Source organism: Homo sapiens, chromosome 18 (assembly GCF_000001405.40).
Source record: "Homo sapiens chromosome 18, GRCh38.p14 Primary Assembly".
Lineage (NCBI taxonomy): Eukaryota > Metazoa > Chordata > Mammalia > Primates > Hominidae > Homo > Homo sapiens.
Window position 1 is genome coordinate 26,499,522 of NC_000018.10, and position 15,044 is coordinate 26,514,565.

General features: G+C 42.2%; 1 protein-coding gene across 6 annotated transcripts in view; it reads right to left on the bottom strand.

The window, feature by feature from the left end:
• KCTD1 (potassium channel tetramerization domain containing 1) overlaps positions 1-15,044 on the bottom strand; it is a 202,564-nt gene that overhangs the window by 44,612 nt on the left and 142,908 nt on the right. For all 6 annotated transcript variants that reach the window (NM_001258222.3, NM_198991.4, NM_001258221.2 and 3 more), the window contains 1 exon segment: positions 1,551-1,729. In NM_001258222.3, coding sequence (NP_001245151.1) covers positions 1,551-1,729 — 179 coding nt within the window.

A 15,044-nucleotide genomic window follows, 5' to 3' on the forward strand; every position in this document is an offset into this window, starting at 1 on the left:
TTTCAATTGTAGAAATTAAATCTGGAAATTAAGAGAGAAAACATTTCATCTTTCTTCTTTCCAACCTTCACATTCTTTCATAAATTATCAAGTAATGGAGTGAGATTTTAAAACAAAAAACAAAAAGTCGGCCTTCATGTAGTATGCAAGGTGACAGTGACTTTTATGTCAGTGGTGTCTACTTAGACTGTAAGCTATCTGTTATCTGTCACTTCATAAGACATTCTGAAAAATGTGGCCGGTGCCCTTCTGAAGCTCAAGGAGTGTGTTTCCAGTTCCTGTGATCAGAAACAGAGAAATGCCCTGTTTCCCGACATTACCCTACATGAATGCATGCCTCCTCCCCTATCCACCAGCAAAAAACTTCCCTTACAGGATCTGGACATAGCCCCCAAATCTGGGGCAGAGCCAGGAGGGTTGTCCCAGGGTAGAAAGGAAATTATTTCTTTGGAACTCCTTTAGAAATGGGTGGTTGGGGCAAGGTGCAGTGGCTCACACCTGTAATCCCAGCGCTTTGGCCAAGGCCAAGGTAGAAGAATTGCCTGAGGCCAGGAGTTTGAGACCAGTCTGGGCAACATAGCGCGACCCCATCTCTACAAAAAATAAAAAAATTAGCCAGGTGCAGTGGCTCACACCTAGAGTCCCAGCACTTTCGGAGGCTGAGACGGAAGAATTGCTGAGGCCAGGAGTTCAAGACCAGCCTAGGGAACACAGTCTGACCCTGTCTCTACAAAAAATTTAAAAAAAAAAAAGCTGGGCATGGGGGCATGCACCTGTGGTCTCAGCTCCTGAGAAGGCTGAGGTGGAAGGGTCACTTAAGCCCAGAAGGTCAAGGCTGCAATGAGCCATGTTTGCACCACTGCACTCCAGCCTGGGCGACAGAACAAGACCCTGGCTCCAAAATAATAATAATAATAAAAAAAATGGGTGGGCAGGGGCATGGGAGGAGATATCTCATAAACATAAATGTATACTGCCTACTTGTAAATCACTCTCCATCTTTAAACAATTTGTATATTTATTTATCTACCTTAAGTTCGTAAGTTCCATGGCCCTTCATTTTTTGTAAACTATACTATTTTGGCTTCTTGGACTTTTGCATACAGATCTAAATATAATGCCTCACTGCTGAGAATCTCTTTTTTTTCTAGTTCACAAGTTGATGAACCAACTGATCTCCTATAAAATTATCAGAACCTATAAGAAAGCATGTTTTTAAAGAAGGAAGGAACAAAGGTGTTGGGGAGAAATCACCATCTTTTTTTGTACTACATTGAGAATTATGAATATCATTGTAGAGCAAAATATCACAGTATTCCATTCTCCTGTGACATTTTTACATGGACTCAACTAAGCTGCGGGTCCAATCCTGATTCGAAGATGTCCAGCCATTGTCCAAGACATCCAGCCTAGGCAGCAGGGTGGCTCACACAGCACTTTCACATCCTGCCCCCTGCCTCCACGAGGCTACACTGCTATGCTGGTCAAAGGAAAAACAGGTTACCAAATACATGCACGTCGGAGTCTGATTTTTCAGTTTTTCAGATTACCTGGATTCAGGGTATTTGGTGAGGGTGGCCAGGCTGCTGGTGTACATGTGGCCGCCCACATCAATGTGGACAGGCGCATTGGATTTTGTGAGTTGTGCTGGAGTAGGGATGCCTTGGTTGTTCAGTGGAGATGCAGGGGATCTAGTGATCAGAGGTCTTGACATATTGGGCCGACTGTCCTACAGAGAGATAAGCAAGTTTAGATACTTTTTCTCTTTACAGTAGAAAGATAGGAAATACATATAGCATAAAGAATAAACGAGTGATTAACGATACTCATTCAGTAATAAAACCTGAAAAACCGGCAAGCTCTTGCTTTTGTTATAATGAATATCAGAAAAACCAATTCTGTAGCAAAGAAAAGGAAATCTTCACATGCTCAGAAATAAGGAGCTGAACTAATGTTCACTTCAAATAACTCTGAGGACTATGAAGGCTTATTATACTAAGAAATTCTTGCATTTAACAATTGACACATGGCAACTAGTATGATATGAAAAGTCTATTCATTCCAAATAAAATGACAATCAAACACTTCAAACAATACATATCTAAATAAAATGCGTATGAGTTAGCCCTCTCTTTGAAAACTTCCTCATTGCTATGCACTTGGAATAAAAACAGACCTCTGACACCTGTGTTCTACAAAATGTTTTCTTAAACTTTCATTTTTCAAATCAGGAAAAAGAGAGCATACTGGTCTAGCCATCAGCTCACATACTTAAAGCAACCTTGCAAAGAGATACCACAAGTTCATCAGTCAACAGAATATACCCTCAAATGATAAATATGTGCTTGCTCATGAACCACAAGCGAACTGCTCTTCTGCATGCCTGACTTCTTGAAGAAATCAAGTTCCCAAAGTGTAACTGAGGCAGATGCTGATGTGCGGTTGCACAAGCAAAGGTGCAATGTGAGCAAACAGACCAGAATGAGGATATCACCTGGTGGCAGTAACAACATGTTTAAGAAATTGTACCTTTTTTTTCTTTTTTTGAGATGGAGTCTCGCTCTGTCGCCCAGGCTGGAGTGCAGTGGCACGATCTCGGCTCACTGCCAGCTCCGCCTCCTGGGTTCACGCCATTCTCCTGCCTCAGCCTCCTGAGTAGCTGGGACTACAGGCGTCCGCCACCACGCCCAGCTAATTTTTTGTATTTTTAGTAGAGACGGGGTTTCACCGTGTTAGCCAGGATGGTCTTGATCTCCTGACCTCGTGATCCGCCCACCTCGGCCTCCCAAAGTGCTGGGATTACAGGGGTGAGCCACCGTGCCCAGCCCGCCCTGCTAATTTTTATATTTGTTGTAGAAACAGGGTTTTTCCATGTTGCCCATGCTGATCTTGACCTCCTGGGCTCAGGCGATCTGCTCATCTCAGCCTCCCAAAGCGCTAGGATTACAGGCGTGAACCACCTCACCCAGGTAGAAACTATACTCTTGAGAAAATAAATTATTACATCCTTTCCATGGATACAATATAAATATTTCAAATGCTATCAAAACACGGTTGTTTGCTTTTCAATTAGAGCCCAAACCACAGACAAGTAAAGATAGGTCTCTGGTATTCAATGAAGGGGTCAAACATTTAGAGTATCTAACTGAAGAGTAAGCTAAAATAGCATTTATGTACAAATTCTGTAACACCGATGACACACGTATACTCTCAGATTTATAATTTTAGCCAAAGATTGTTTTCAAACATGCAAACAATGTATGGCAAAGCCAGGGATAAGGCACACTGAAGGGATTTTGAAAAATGCCTTTGATGGAGACCACAAAGGGGAAGTCATCTAGTTTTTGTGCATAAAATGCAGCATGATAAAATATAAATTTGCAAAACATCATAGATTTTATGATCTGGAACAGCTTCAGGAGTTACCTGGGGCACAACTGTTAGACTACTTAGCATTAACCACATGTCCAAGCAAGACTGTGAATGCACATGCTTTCTGAAGCTCAACATCTACTGTGAATGGGGTGGTGACTGGGCCTTTACGCAAAATGTTTACCATCTGTGTTGTGCGTTTCTACATGCTGAATTAACAGAGCCTAGAAACAGTTATAGAAAAAGAGTTAATGTTTTAGTTCTTAAATCGGCTGGTCGGCTCAAGGGTGTTTACTACATTATTCTTTATATGTTTCTAGATATTTTTAACAATGCAAAATAGATATTGAAAAACACAACAGGATGTTTGTAACACACAAAGAAGAGGAGTTAAAGGGGTATTGGGTATTGGAAAAAAATAAAAAAAACAAGACAGTTGGTAGGAAATATGAAACAGGTAAGGTTCAGAAATACTAAAAGTAGCATTTTAAAATCTGGATGACAGAAAACATATTTTTCCTTTAAAAATGCAATCATACAACCTCCACTTTTAAGAGATACGTACTGACTTCCTGTTAGAAAATGATTTCCTGGCTACGGACACACAAACACACACACACAGGCACACACACACCTCCCTCCCTGTTACATTTCAGCCCATCACAGCGCGGCAGAGTCTGTAATAGTTTTTCAATTGGACACATTCTCTATCCTGCCTGAGGGTGCTCAGGCGAAAATGAACAGATTTGCAGGGTTAATATTGTCGTTAGACTGTGACCTCATTCAGCATGGCTCTAACACTGCCAGGTCTGTACAGAAAGAGAAAAAAATGAAAGCATAACTGATCGGTTGAAGCATTCCAGATTTCTCAGAATATATACCATTTACACTGTAAGTCATAAATGCAATGGATATTGCTAAATTTAAAATTAAACCAGTGTTTCTTCAGCTGGGGGTGGGGGTGGGGTGGGGTGGAGATTGGCCCTTAAGGGCAAGGATTAGCAATGCCCTCCTTTGGTGAGCCCTCTTGGTTCTCCTAGGCGCTTTCCCCATCCTGGATGTTCTCCTCTTTCTGCAGGGTTGCTGTGGCTGCGCTCATTTCTAAGGCATTAACTGATACTAGTTAACACAGTCAGAGCTTTTCACTTGGTATTTTCCATATGGGGCAGATTGTAAGAACTTTTTTTTTAGGAGACAGAGTCTCTCTCTGTTGCCCAGGCTGGAGTGCAGTGGTGTGATCAAAGCTGCTCACTGCAGCCTCAAACTTCTGGGATCAAGCGATCCCCCCACCTCAGCTTCCCAAGTAACTGGTACTACAGGTACGTGCCACCACGCTCAGCTAACTATTATTATTATTGTTATTTGAGACAGGGTCTCACTCTGTCACCCAGGCTGGTGCAATTTCAGTTCATTGCAACCTCCACTTCCCAGGCTCAAGCGATTCTCCAGCCTCAGCCTCCTGAGTAGCTGACACTACAGGCGCAGGCCACTAATGCCCAGCTAATTTTGGTATTTTTAGTAGAGACAGGGTTTCGCCATGTTGCCCAGACTGGTCTTGAACTCGTGAGCTCAAAGTGATCCTCCTGCCTCGGCCTCCAAAGTGTTGGGATTACAGGCATGAGCTACCACATCTGGCCTAATTTTTTATTTTTAACGTTTTTAGAGACAAGGGTCTCACTGTGTTGCCCAGGCTGGCCTTGAACTCCTGGCCTCAAGCAATCCTCCTGCTTCAGCCTCCCAAGTCACTGGGATTACAGGTGTGAGCCACTGTACCTGATATATAAGAACTTTTAAAATCCTTAGGCTGGGGTTGGGGGGGCGATATTTGGGGCTGAGAGTTTGGGCACTTGTATTAGACACTGAAGTTGATGCTCAATATGTATCCCATTGACTCCAGATGTTTCATCTAACACAATTGTGGCAACCTCTTCCTTGGCCAGTAGCTGGAGCTGACACTTTCTCAACTTCACCTGGATGGACACTGAAGTCCAGGATGGGATGCTGCTACCTGCAGCTGCCATCTCCCTGCCAATTTAAGGATGAAGCCAATGCCCAGGATGGCAGAGCTGAGAGCTGGAAGGAAGCCAGGTCCTCGCTGACATTGTTGACACACTGCATCAGCCATCTCTCAGCCTCCCACCTCTAGATTTCCTGTGACTTGGGAAAATAAATTTCTGTATTTGTAAAGCTAGTTTGAAATGGGATTTCTGCCACCTGTCTTGATAAGGAATCCTTCCTGTTACACAGCTGCTTCCCTGCGAGGTCATTTGGCTTGGGGGCCTTGGCCAGGGATGCCAAGCATGGCTGCCTGCTGAGATGCAGCAGAGCCTTCTGTCGTTCATCATCGTCCTCAACTCTACCTTCCCATCATCATCTTAGTTTGTGTATGTCTTTCAGGATTACTTCTGGAGAAAGGAAAACCATAACCTTTAACCAGAAAGAGTGCAAGGGACTTGGATGTGCCGTCACACTGCTGAAGAAACAACTCAGAGTGCTGAAGACTATTTCGATTTCTGCGCATTGCTCAGGCAAAGAGCTCTGTGATAAAACTCCCTCCGGAATACAGACGAAGAACCCGGGAGAGGAACCCTTGTCTTAACATGAAGCTACTTGATTACTGCTCCTCCCCTGTGCAGCCCATTGTTCTCTCCTTTGCAACATTTTTACTAATTTATTTTTTAGAGACAGGGTCTTGCTCTGTTGCCCAGGCTGCAGTGCAGTGGCGCAATCATAGCTCACTACAGCCTTGAGTTCCTGAGCTCAAGTGATCTTTTTGTCTCAGTCTCCCAAGTAGCTAGGACTACAAGTGTGCACCACCACACCTGGCCAACTAATAACATTTTTTTGTAGACACAGGGTCTTGCTATGTTGCTCAGACTGGTCTTAAACTCCTGGCCTCAAATGATCTTCCCACCTAGGCCTCCCAAAGTGCTGGAATTACAGGCATGAGCCACCAGGCCTGGGCCATGACATTTTATTATCATTATTATTATTATTTTGAGACAGGGTCTCACCTCTGTCACTCAGGCTGGAGTGCAGTGGCATGATCTCAGCTCAGTGCAGCTTCCGCTTCCCAGGTTCAAGCAATTTTCATGCCTCAGCCTCCCGAGTAGCTGGGACTGCAGGTGTGCGCCACCACCCCTGGCTAATTTTTTTTTTCATGTTTTTAGTAGAAATGGGGTTTCGCTATGTTGCCCAGGCTGGTCTCGAACTCTTGAGCTCAGGTGATCAGCCCGCCTTGGCCTCCCAAAGTGCTGAGATTATAGGTGTTAGCCACCGCGCCCAGCCCATAACACTTATTAACATCTCTTGAGTGCCAGACACTGTTCAAGGTGATAAGTGAACAAGAGTAAACAAAACAGGCTGGTCTCTGGCCTCAGCAGTCCTGCTGTTCAGTGGGAGGGAGCCCATGAAACATGCGACTACAATCAGGACAGAGGAAGGCCGGGCTACTATGGCAGCTGATGGAGAGGACATTTAACCCAGGGTTGGGGGCTGGGAAGGATGGGGAAGGATCCCTAGAGACTGAGAACTGAGAAGTTAACAAACACTGGGAGGTTGGAAGGAGAGTGCCCAGTGCTATTCCCAAGGCTCCAAAGTGGGAGAGCACATGGTACCTTTCAGAAATTAAAAGTTCAATATAGCGTCGCAACCACTTATTTTTTTCTCCAAGGTTGAGGGATAATGCGGGAGACAGAAGCTTGTATGTTGATCTGTGGTCTGAGAACCACAGAATTAAATGATAATTTACAATGAAAAAATAAATGAAGCCCACCATAACATCCTTGTGTCTGGAGAAGAGGAGGTAGAAAGGTTGGGAGCTAAGACCCCACAATCTAAACAGAGCTGTCCATAGAACTTTCTGCAGTACAGGAGATGCTCTGGACCTGCACAGTTCAATATGGTCACCACCAGCCACAAGTGGGTGTCATAGTGAGACTGAGGAACTGAATCTTTAATTTTATTTTAGCTAATTTAAATTTTAATTTAGGCCAGGCGTGGTGGCTCACGCCTGTAATTCCAGCACTTTGGGAGGCCGAGGCGGGCAGATCACCTGAGGTCAGGAGTTTGAGACCAGCCTGGCCAACATGGCAAAACCTCGTCTCTATTAAAAATACAAAAATTAGCCAGGTGTGGTGGCAGGTGCCTGTAATCCCAGCTACTCGGGAGGCGGAGGCAGGAGAATCGCTTGAACCTGGGAGGTGGCGGTTTCAGTGAGCCAAGATCGCGCCACTGTACTCCAGCCTGGGTAACAGAGCAAAACTCCGTCTCAATAATAATAGTAATAATAATAAATAAATTTTAACTTAGATAGCTACCTGTGGCTAGTTGCTATCATTTTGGACAGTGTAGTAACTTTGGGTAGCAAGTAAACTTTGCTAGAATTTTTCTTAATATTTGGAAGCCCAAATTATGACAAACTTGAATTTCCCACTTCTGTGATGGAGAAGCAGGAGTAATTTAGAACTGAATACAATTTATTCTTATTTCTTAGAGACTCGGTCTCACTCTGTTGCCGAGGCTAGAATGGAGTGGTGCTATCAGGGATCACTGAAGCCTTGAGCTCCTGGGGTCAAGCGATCCTCCTGCCTCATTTTTCCAAGTAGGTGGGACTACAGGTGTGTGCCACCACACTTGGCTAATTAAAATTTTTTTTTCTTTTGTAGAGATGGGGACTTGCTATGTTTATCCAGGCTGGTCTTGAACTCCTGGCCTCAAGTGATCAAATGCCTTACGACCCCTCACAAACACATTCATTTCCCTCTCCCTTTCTAACAGTATTTCTCCCTTCTTTACTGACACTATACTTTTTTTTTTTTAAAAAAAGAATGATGCCCTGTGGATTTGGAAGAGCACTGAAGAAAAGGTGTCAGGAACAAAAGGGCACGTACTGTATGATTGTATTTACATGAAGTGACAGGCAGGCAGGACGATGACAAAGATCAGAACACTGGCCACCTTTGGGAGTAGTGACTGGAAGAGGGAGTGACCAGCAAAGCTGCACATCTTGATCTGAGTGGTGACACAGTTGTATACATACGCACATGGAAGATTCATTCACTTTAAGTTCTATTAAATAAAAATAAGATAAACTGAAAATAATCTTGGAAAAAAAATCCTCCAATCAGAACACTTTACTGTTGAAATACTTACTTAAATTTCTGTGAAATAACACTTATTTTTAAAGCCAAAAAAAGTGCTTATTATTTCCTTTGATAGAATTCACCAAATCTGACTAAAATATACTCTGACATGAAACAGCCCTTAGGAATTCTCTAATTCCTCTTTTCCCATATCTGTCCTGTATAGATTTTCCAGGCGTGCTGATCGGTGCATCTTTAACATTTCCATTTCCTAGCTGCTTCCCATAGCTTCATCATCCATCTCACCTACCCAACAGAGGAGCAATGATTTTTTTGGTAGTAGAATCCTTCAAGGGATTTGACTTCAGGCATCTTTCAAAAGAAGAAGAAGAAAAATCTGCCTTCTAACCTAGCTGTGTGCTGTTCAAACAGGAGCCCTGGGGGTACTGCCTTGAACAAATGAGCTGAAGTTTAAACTGAAAGTTTTAATGACTTTCTTTGTTAAGAATGTATGTCCCTGTCTTATGTCACGTTTCACTATTGAGTTTGACCATATTACCTCTTTCACTGGAGAAAGAAACAGGTTTCTTAGTGATACCTCCAGAAAAGCATGTCAGTGGTAAAATACCTATATCCTTTGACATTTTAATTCATAACATTCAGTAGAGCAGTGAAAGAATTTAATACAGATCATAACTTTTCCACAAATTTCAACCTGGATTTAAATATATTTCTCTCTCTCTCTCTCTCTCACACACACACACACACGCACAACATCTGTATTATATGGCATACTTGGATATGGGAATGTTCTGATTAATTCTGATAGTCTGACAAGGGTAATCAAAGTGTCTTAGGCAAGGATCTTGCTTCCTGGGATGGAAATTTGCGGTTGCCTTGGGAGTGTTGTTTCAGGAATGACATAATCATTGGACCCTCAATAAAGGTTCTAATAAGAAAACATCACTTTACTGACCACAGCTACTTAATTGTATAGCAAGTCTCTCAACCATAACATCAACGTGTTTTGAAAGAGGCCTCACTGGTTTCTTCATTCATTCAAGTGCTATTTATTGGGCACCTATCACCTGCCAAACTCTATGGTCTCTATTGACTTTAACTAAATAGCAGAATGAGCCTGAAGAGAAAGAAAATAATCTTTCTGGTAATTTCACTTAAGTAAAAAAAAAAAAACAAACTCGGCAGTGATTCAAAATTGATGAGTACTGTATGCATAATTTATTTAGAGAACAGTTTCTGTCAATCTTGACCATTTGGGAAACAGCAAAGAATTAGCCCAAAAAAGTCTTCTGAGTATCCACATTTGATGTCAAGTTTTCTAGTCACTTTATTCACAGGAGCCCCCTTCAAATTCATAGAGACTACTTATTCTTTTTTTTAAGAATATAATAAAATTTTTTTTAATTTTATTTTTGACACTTAATTGTACATATTTATGAGGTACAGAGTGTTAGTTCCATATATCTATACAATGCTCAAATCAGAATAATTAGGATATCCATCACTTCAACCATGTATCGTTTCTTTGTGTTACTTATTCTTAATCTTTATGAGAAGTGGGATTACTGGTTTTCCAGCTCACAGGACAGTAGCTACTCGCTAAAATCATCTAAAATTAAGTCATCCAAAGATCAAACCTCAGACAAAATTAGATTGGAAAGTATCTAATACATTGAATAAAAATTTCCATCCCAAAACAGTAAAGGAAAACATTTTTCTAAGTTAAGACAATTTTCAAAACCCCATATAGCTGGAAAAGTCACATATACAGGGCACCCTAAGTAAGGGTACAGGAGAAAAAGCCCTGTTCCTTCGGAATCTGAAGACCTGGTTTGAACTCAGCCGCCCGCCCCGTGCGATCTCTGAGAAGTTACCAAACCGATCTAACCCCAGTATCCTCATCTCTAAGACAGGAATAAATCGCCCTACCTGACAGAGGGGCAAAGATGGCAGTAGATGAGACAGTGTTTGGGAAGACATCTAACAGAGCGTCTGGCATTTAGAAGGAAAAAATGAAGTTTCTTTCTTTCCTCCGAGCACAAAAAAAGTGAAATTTGACAAGCCAGATGGACAGACAGACAAGCCTTCTATGGGCCTAGCGAGAAGTACAGTGAACTACTCTAAGGTCGCTGAGCGGCAAGGCCCAACAAAAAGGCAGTGCTTTGCATTGATGTAACACAGTATTACATTGTGGGGTGCAGATAAATAGAAAGAAAATGGGACAAGATGCTAATTATGTGCCTTGGACAAAGTGTATGAAAGGAAGTAGAGAATGAAATCATCACAGTAGGTTCACGAAATGGCACTTGAGCTGTATTACTTTTCCTTTTCAGATTAAAATCGTAATTTCACAGAATTAAAAACAAATTAAAAATAGGGTGCTTCAAAGTTGTTTCAAAATGACCAGGGACTGTGTTAAATTAATCTGCAGTTCTTTCCTAATCTGAAGTGGTAAAATGTTACCCTTCTTGCTGTGGGGCAGGACAAGGCGTTACTGCTGTTTATCTATTTCACTGCACAGTCTGTCTGCCAGATACAGAGTGAGTGTCCTCAACATGCCTTTTTGTTTTTTTTCTTTTTCATAGTGAAATATGTATCTGAGAAGCTCCCTTATTAGATTACCAAGCTGAGGCCATGAAAAGAATGACTATTGGCCAACATTTCTTTGCTTTTAGTTCAAAAGGAAAATGAACTTGAGAAAAATAACATCTGAATAGAATTTCGCATGTTTTTTTAAATTAGATTTCTTACATATTTTTAAATACACTTAAAACACTAGAGAATATTTTAAATACATTCTACAGCTCAAATATAGCTACTATTCACTTTTAAAAAGTTAAAACAGCATTAAAAGTGACAGAGCTGCTTCAGTAATAATAGTGCTATAGGGAAAGGTCATTTTTGCAAATGTGTGTAGGTACAATAAAAAATTCTAGCATTAAATGCACCAAAATATTAGTAGGGATTAGGACTGGGTGATGATGCTATGGGCAAAAATTTTCAGTTGTTTTTATTCCTTTATGCTATACAGAGTTGAATATTTACTACTTTTGAATTTTAAAAATGGAAAAAACAGCACTCAATGGCCCAATTAAATCATTTAGTATATACTCTTGACACAGTGCTATATTTTACCTTCATAATAGGGATTTTTGACATTTTTAAGAGGTCAGAATAAAGAAATACAAGAATGGAACTAAACTTAGGGATAATACTTCCCTTTCCTTAATTTTCTTGCCAGGGAGGAAACACGTGGAACTGAAAATTAAATGGGCTTCAGGTCAAGGGAGCTCGTATTCAGCTGACACAGAAGACGATTTCATTTGATCCTGAAAGACAGGGGCAGTCGCCTATGGTTCCCACACTCTCGGGGTCTATCTGGTCATCTGCCCCCTCTTCCAGATCCCTCCATTCCCAGCTCTAAAACATTGCAAGAGCAAAATGATCAAAGCTATCCAAGTACACTGCCTGTGTTTCCTGAAGTCGCCCTGCACACGCTGTTGTGGGGGGAAGATGCGAACAACAGCAAAGGTTGGCAATGAAACAGCGTCTAACATGTAGAGAGGGCCTTCGAGTCTGAAATCAGAAACCTCTGCACAATGTTAGGTATTATCACCATTTCACAGAGAAGGAAGTTGACTCTGAGGTCAAGTGGCTTAGCCTATAATTATCTAGTAATAAATTTACTGTGATATTTTACATGCTAGCCATTGTGTACCCAGATAAGGTTGCCACTCTCTTATTACTAGGCTATACATGCTCTGACATTCCCTGGAGGAGGGAGAGATTTGCCTTGTTCCTTTCACCCTGTCTGTGTTTGGGGGTGAACATACTGGCTGGAGGCTTAGAAGGAGGGTCAGTGATCACAGAGAAGGCGGGGACCAGCTGGCCCAGGAAGTGGACACCTCCCCTGCCACAGAGAATTGGCACTTTATTCACTCCCCCAACTCTTAGTTCCATGTGCATTTAGCAGGACACATCGGCCTCTAAATAAATCATAAACTTATTAACTTCTTGGATGTGGTCATTGAAATTCCTCATTCAGCAGAGTATCGAAAGCTAAATGTGCTCCTTTTAACTTGAATTGAGTCTCTGGGAACCTCCTCTGAGATTCTTTTTTGTGGAGATGGAGTCTCACTCTGTTGCCCAGGCTGGAGTGCAGTAGCGCGATCTTGGCTTACTGCAACCTCTGCCTCCTGGGTTCAAGCAATTCTCTTGCCTCAGCCTCCCGAGTAGCTGGGACTACAGGCGCACACTGCCACACCCAGCTAATTTTTTTATTTTAGTAGACACAGGGTTTCACCATGTTGCCCAGGCTGGTCTCGAACTCCTGAGCTCAGGCAATCCGCCTGCCTCTGCCTCTTAAAGTGCTAAGATTACAGGTGTGAGCCACCGCACCTGGCCTCCTCTGAGATTCTTAAGTGCCCATTTGCTTGACGTTTTTGCATTAAAAAAAAAAAATTAAAATGCACAGGTTTATACGTACATGACTTACTCTATATAATAAATGTGTTCATAAAAAGTTCATTTGCTCATTTGTTCATTTATTTAGAAAATGTTGGCTGGTTGCTCTATTTGGTGCCAGGCTAGGGCACTATGGAAATGAACTCCTCAGGGTGTCTGTAAGTTTAATTTGAGAATTAGTCATATGCACAGGGAATTCCTGATGACAAGAGACTCCATGTAAATAAAAATTTTTTGGCCGCATGAGGTGGCTCATGTCTGGAATCCCAGCACTTTGGGAGGCCAAGGCAGGTGGATCACTTGAGGCCAGGAGTTCAAGACCAGCCTTGACAACATGGTGAAATCCCATCTCTACTAAAAATGCAAAAATTAGCCGGGTGTGGTGGTGCATGCCTGTAGTCCCAGCTACTCGGGAGGCTGAGGCAAGAGAATCACTTGAATCAGGGAGGTGGAGGCTGTAGTGGGCTGAAATCATGCCCCCGCACTCCAGCCTGGGCAACGCAGAAAGACTGTCTCAAAAAAAAATTTTTTTTTTCAATCAAATTATGCCTGAAATACTCTGAGAACTAAATAATACTTAAATACCCCAAAGAATGCACCTTTCTGGGTTTTATAAATCCAGGGTGTATTTTTTTTTTTTTTTGAGACGTAGTCTCGCTGTGTTGCCCAGGCTGGAGTGCAATGGCGCCATCTCGGTTCACTGCAAGCTCCGCCTCCCGGGTTCACGCCATTCTCCTGCCTCAGCCTCCCGAGTAGCTGGGACTACAGGCGCCCGCAACCACGCCGGGCTAATTTTTTGTATTTTTAGTAGAGACGGGGTTTCATCGCGTTAGCCAGGATGGTCTCCATCTCCTGACCTCGTGATCTGCCCACTTCGGCCTCCCAAAGTGCTGGGATTACAGGCGTGAGCCACCGCGCCCGGCCTCCAGGGTGTATTATTTTTAAATAAGACATACCTATATTTAGTAATTCCACATTACAAAGATCACACTTCTAACTTTTGCCCCAATTACCTTTTAAAGAGCAAACTATTTGTGGCACTTCTAACAGTGTTGACATGGAGTAAGGTACCTAAACTCAGAACGTTTTCCCGAGGATGCAACAACATAGAGACGAAGTTTTAGCCTAAGCCATGTCACCAATGAGCTATGTGGCCTTGGCAAATTCTTTTCTCTCTCACTTCAGCTTTCCCATTTATAATCTATGCAGTCGGACCAGATGCTCTGTAATGCTCTTTCCAGTTCTGAATTTTTACTAGTCTATGATTTTTAAAAAATATAAGCCATAGAGATTCAAATATCTTAAGAAAGCTAGCATTTTAGAAGGTCAGAATTGGAATTCAAAATGCCTTTGAAAGAAAGGAGAACTGGTCATGAAATGAAGGGCATTCCAAAAGTATGAGTGCAAAAAAGAGCTAACCCAGGGAGATTCCTTAACAATCACACCATTTGCTCTAGCTGATCGGGAAGATTACATTTTAATCACTACTGCTTTCTACTTGCCTCCACTGGCAGGAGAAAACAGCAAATAAAATATGGTGCTTAATAAGCAAAATGCCTACTTGGGAAAGATTCTTAGTGTCATTTTATTGGAGTATCATTTACTTATTTATATCTTTTATTGTTCTAGAATATTAGTCTGAAAGCAGCTTGAGATTCCCCTGTAGAACAGAGAAAAAATTTGTCTCAATGATATAAAGTGATGCTTTTAAAAAATAAAGTAACGATCTCTTGTAAGCAGAATCGGTGCCAAGTTTTCCAAAAGATATATTTGGTAATAAAAATTTTTAAAGGTGTGGGGGAGGAGAGAGCCAAGCACAGTGGCTCATGCTTATAATCCCAGTGACTTGGGAGGCTGAAGTAGGAGGGCTGCTTGCGGCCAGGAGTTCGAGACCAGCCTGGGCAACACAGTGAGACCCTGTCTCTAAAAAGATTAAAAAACTGGCTGGGCGTAGTGGTCTCAGCCTACAGTCTGTGACTCAGGAGGTTGAAACAGGAGGACTACGTAAGCCCAGGAGTTTGAGGCTGCAGTGAGCTATGATCATGCCACTGCATCCTAGCCCAGGCAACAGAGTGAGACCTTGTCTCAAAAAAAAAAAAAAAA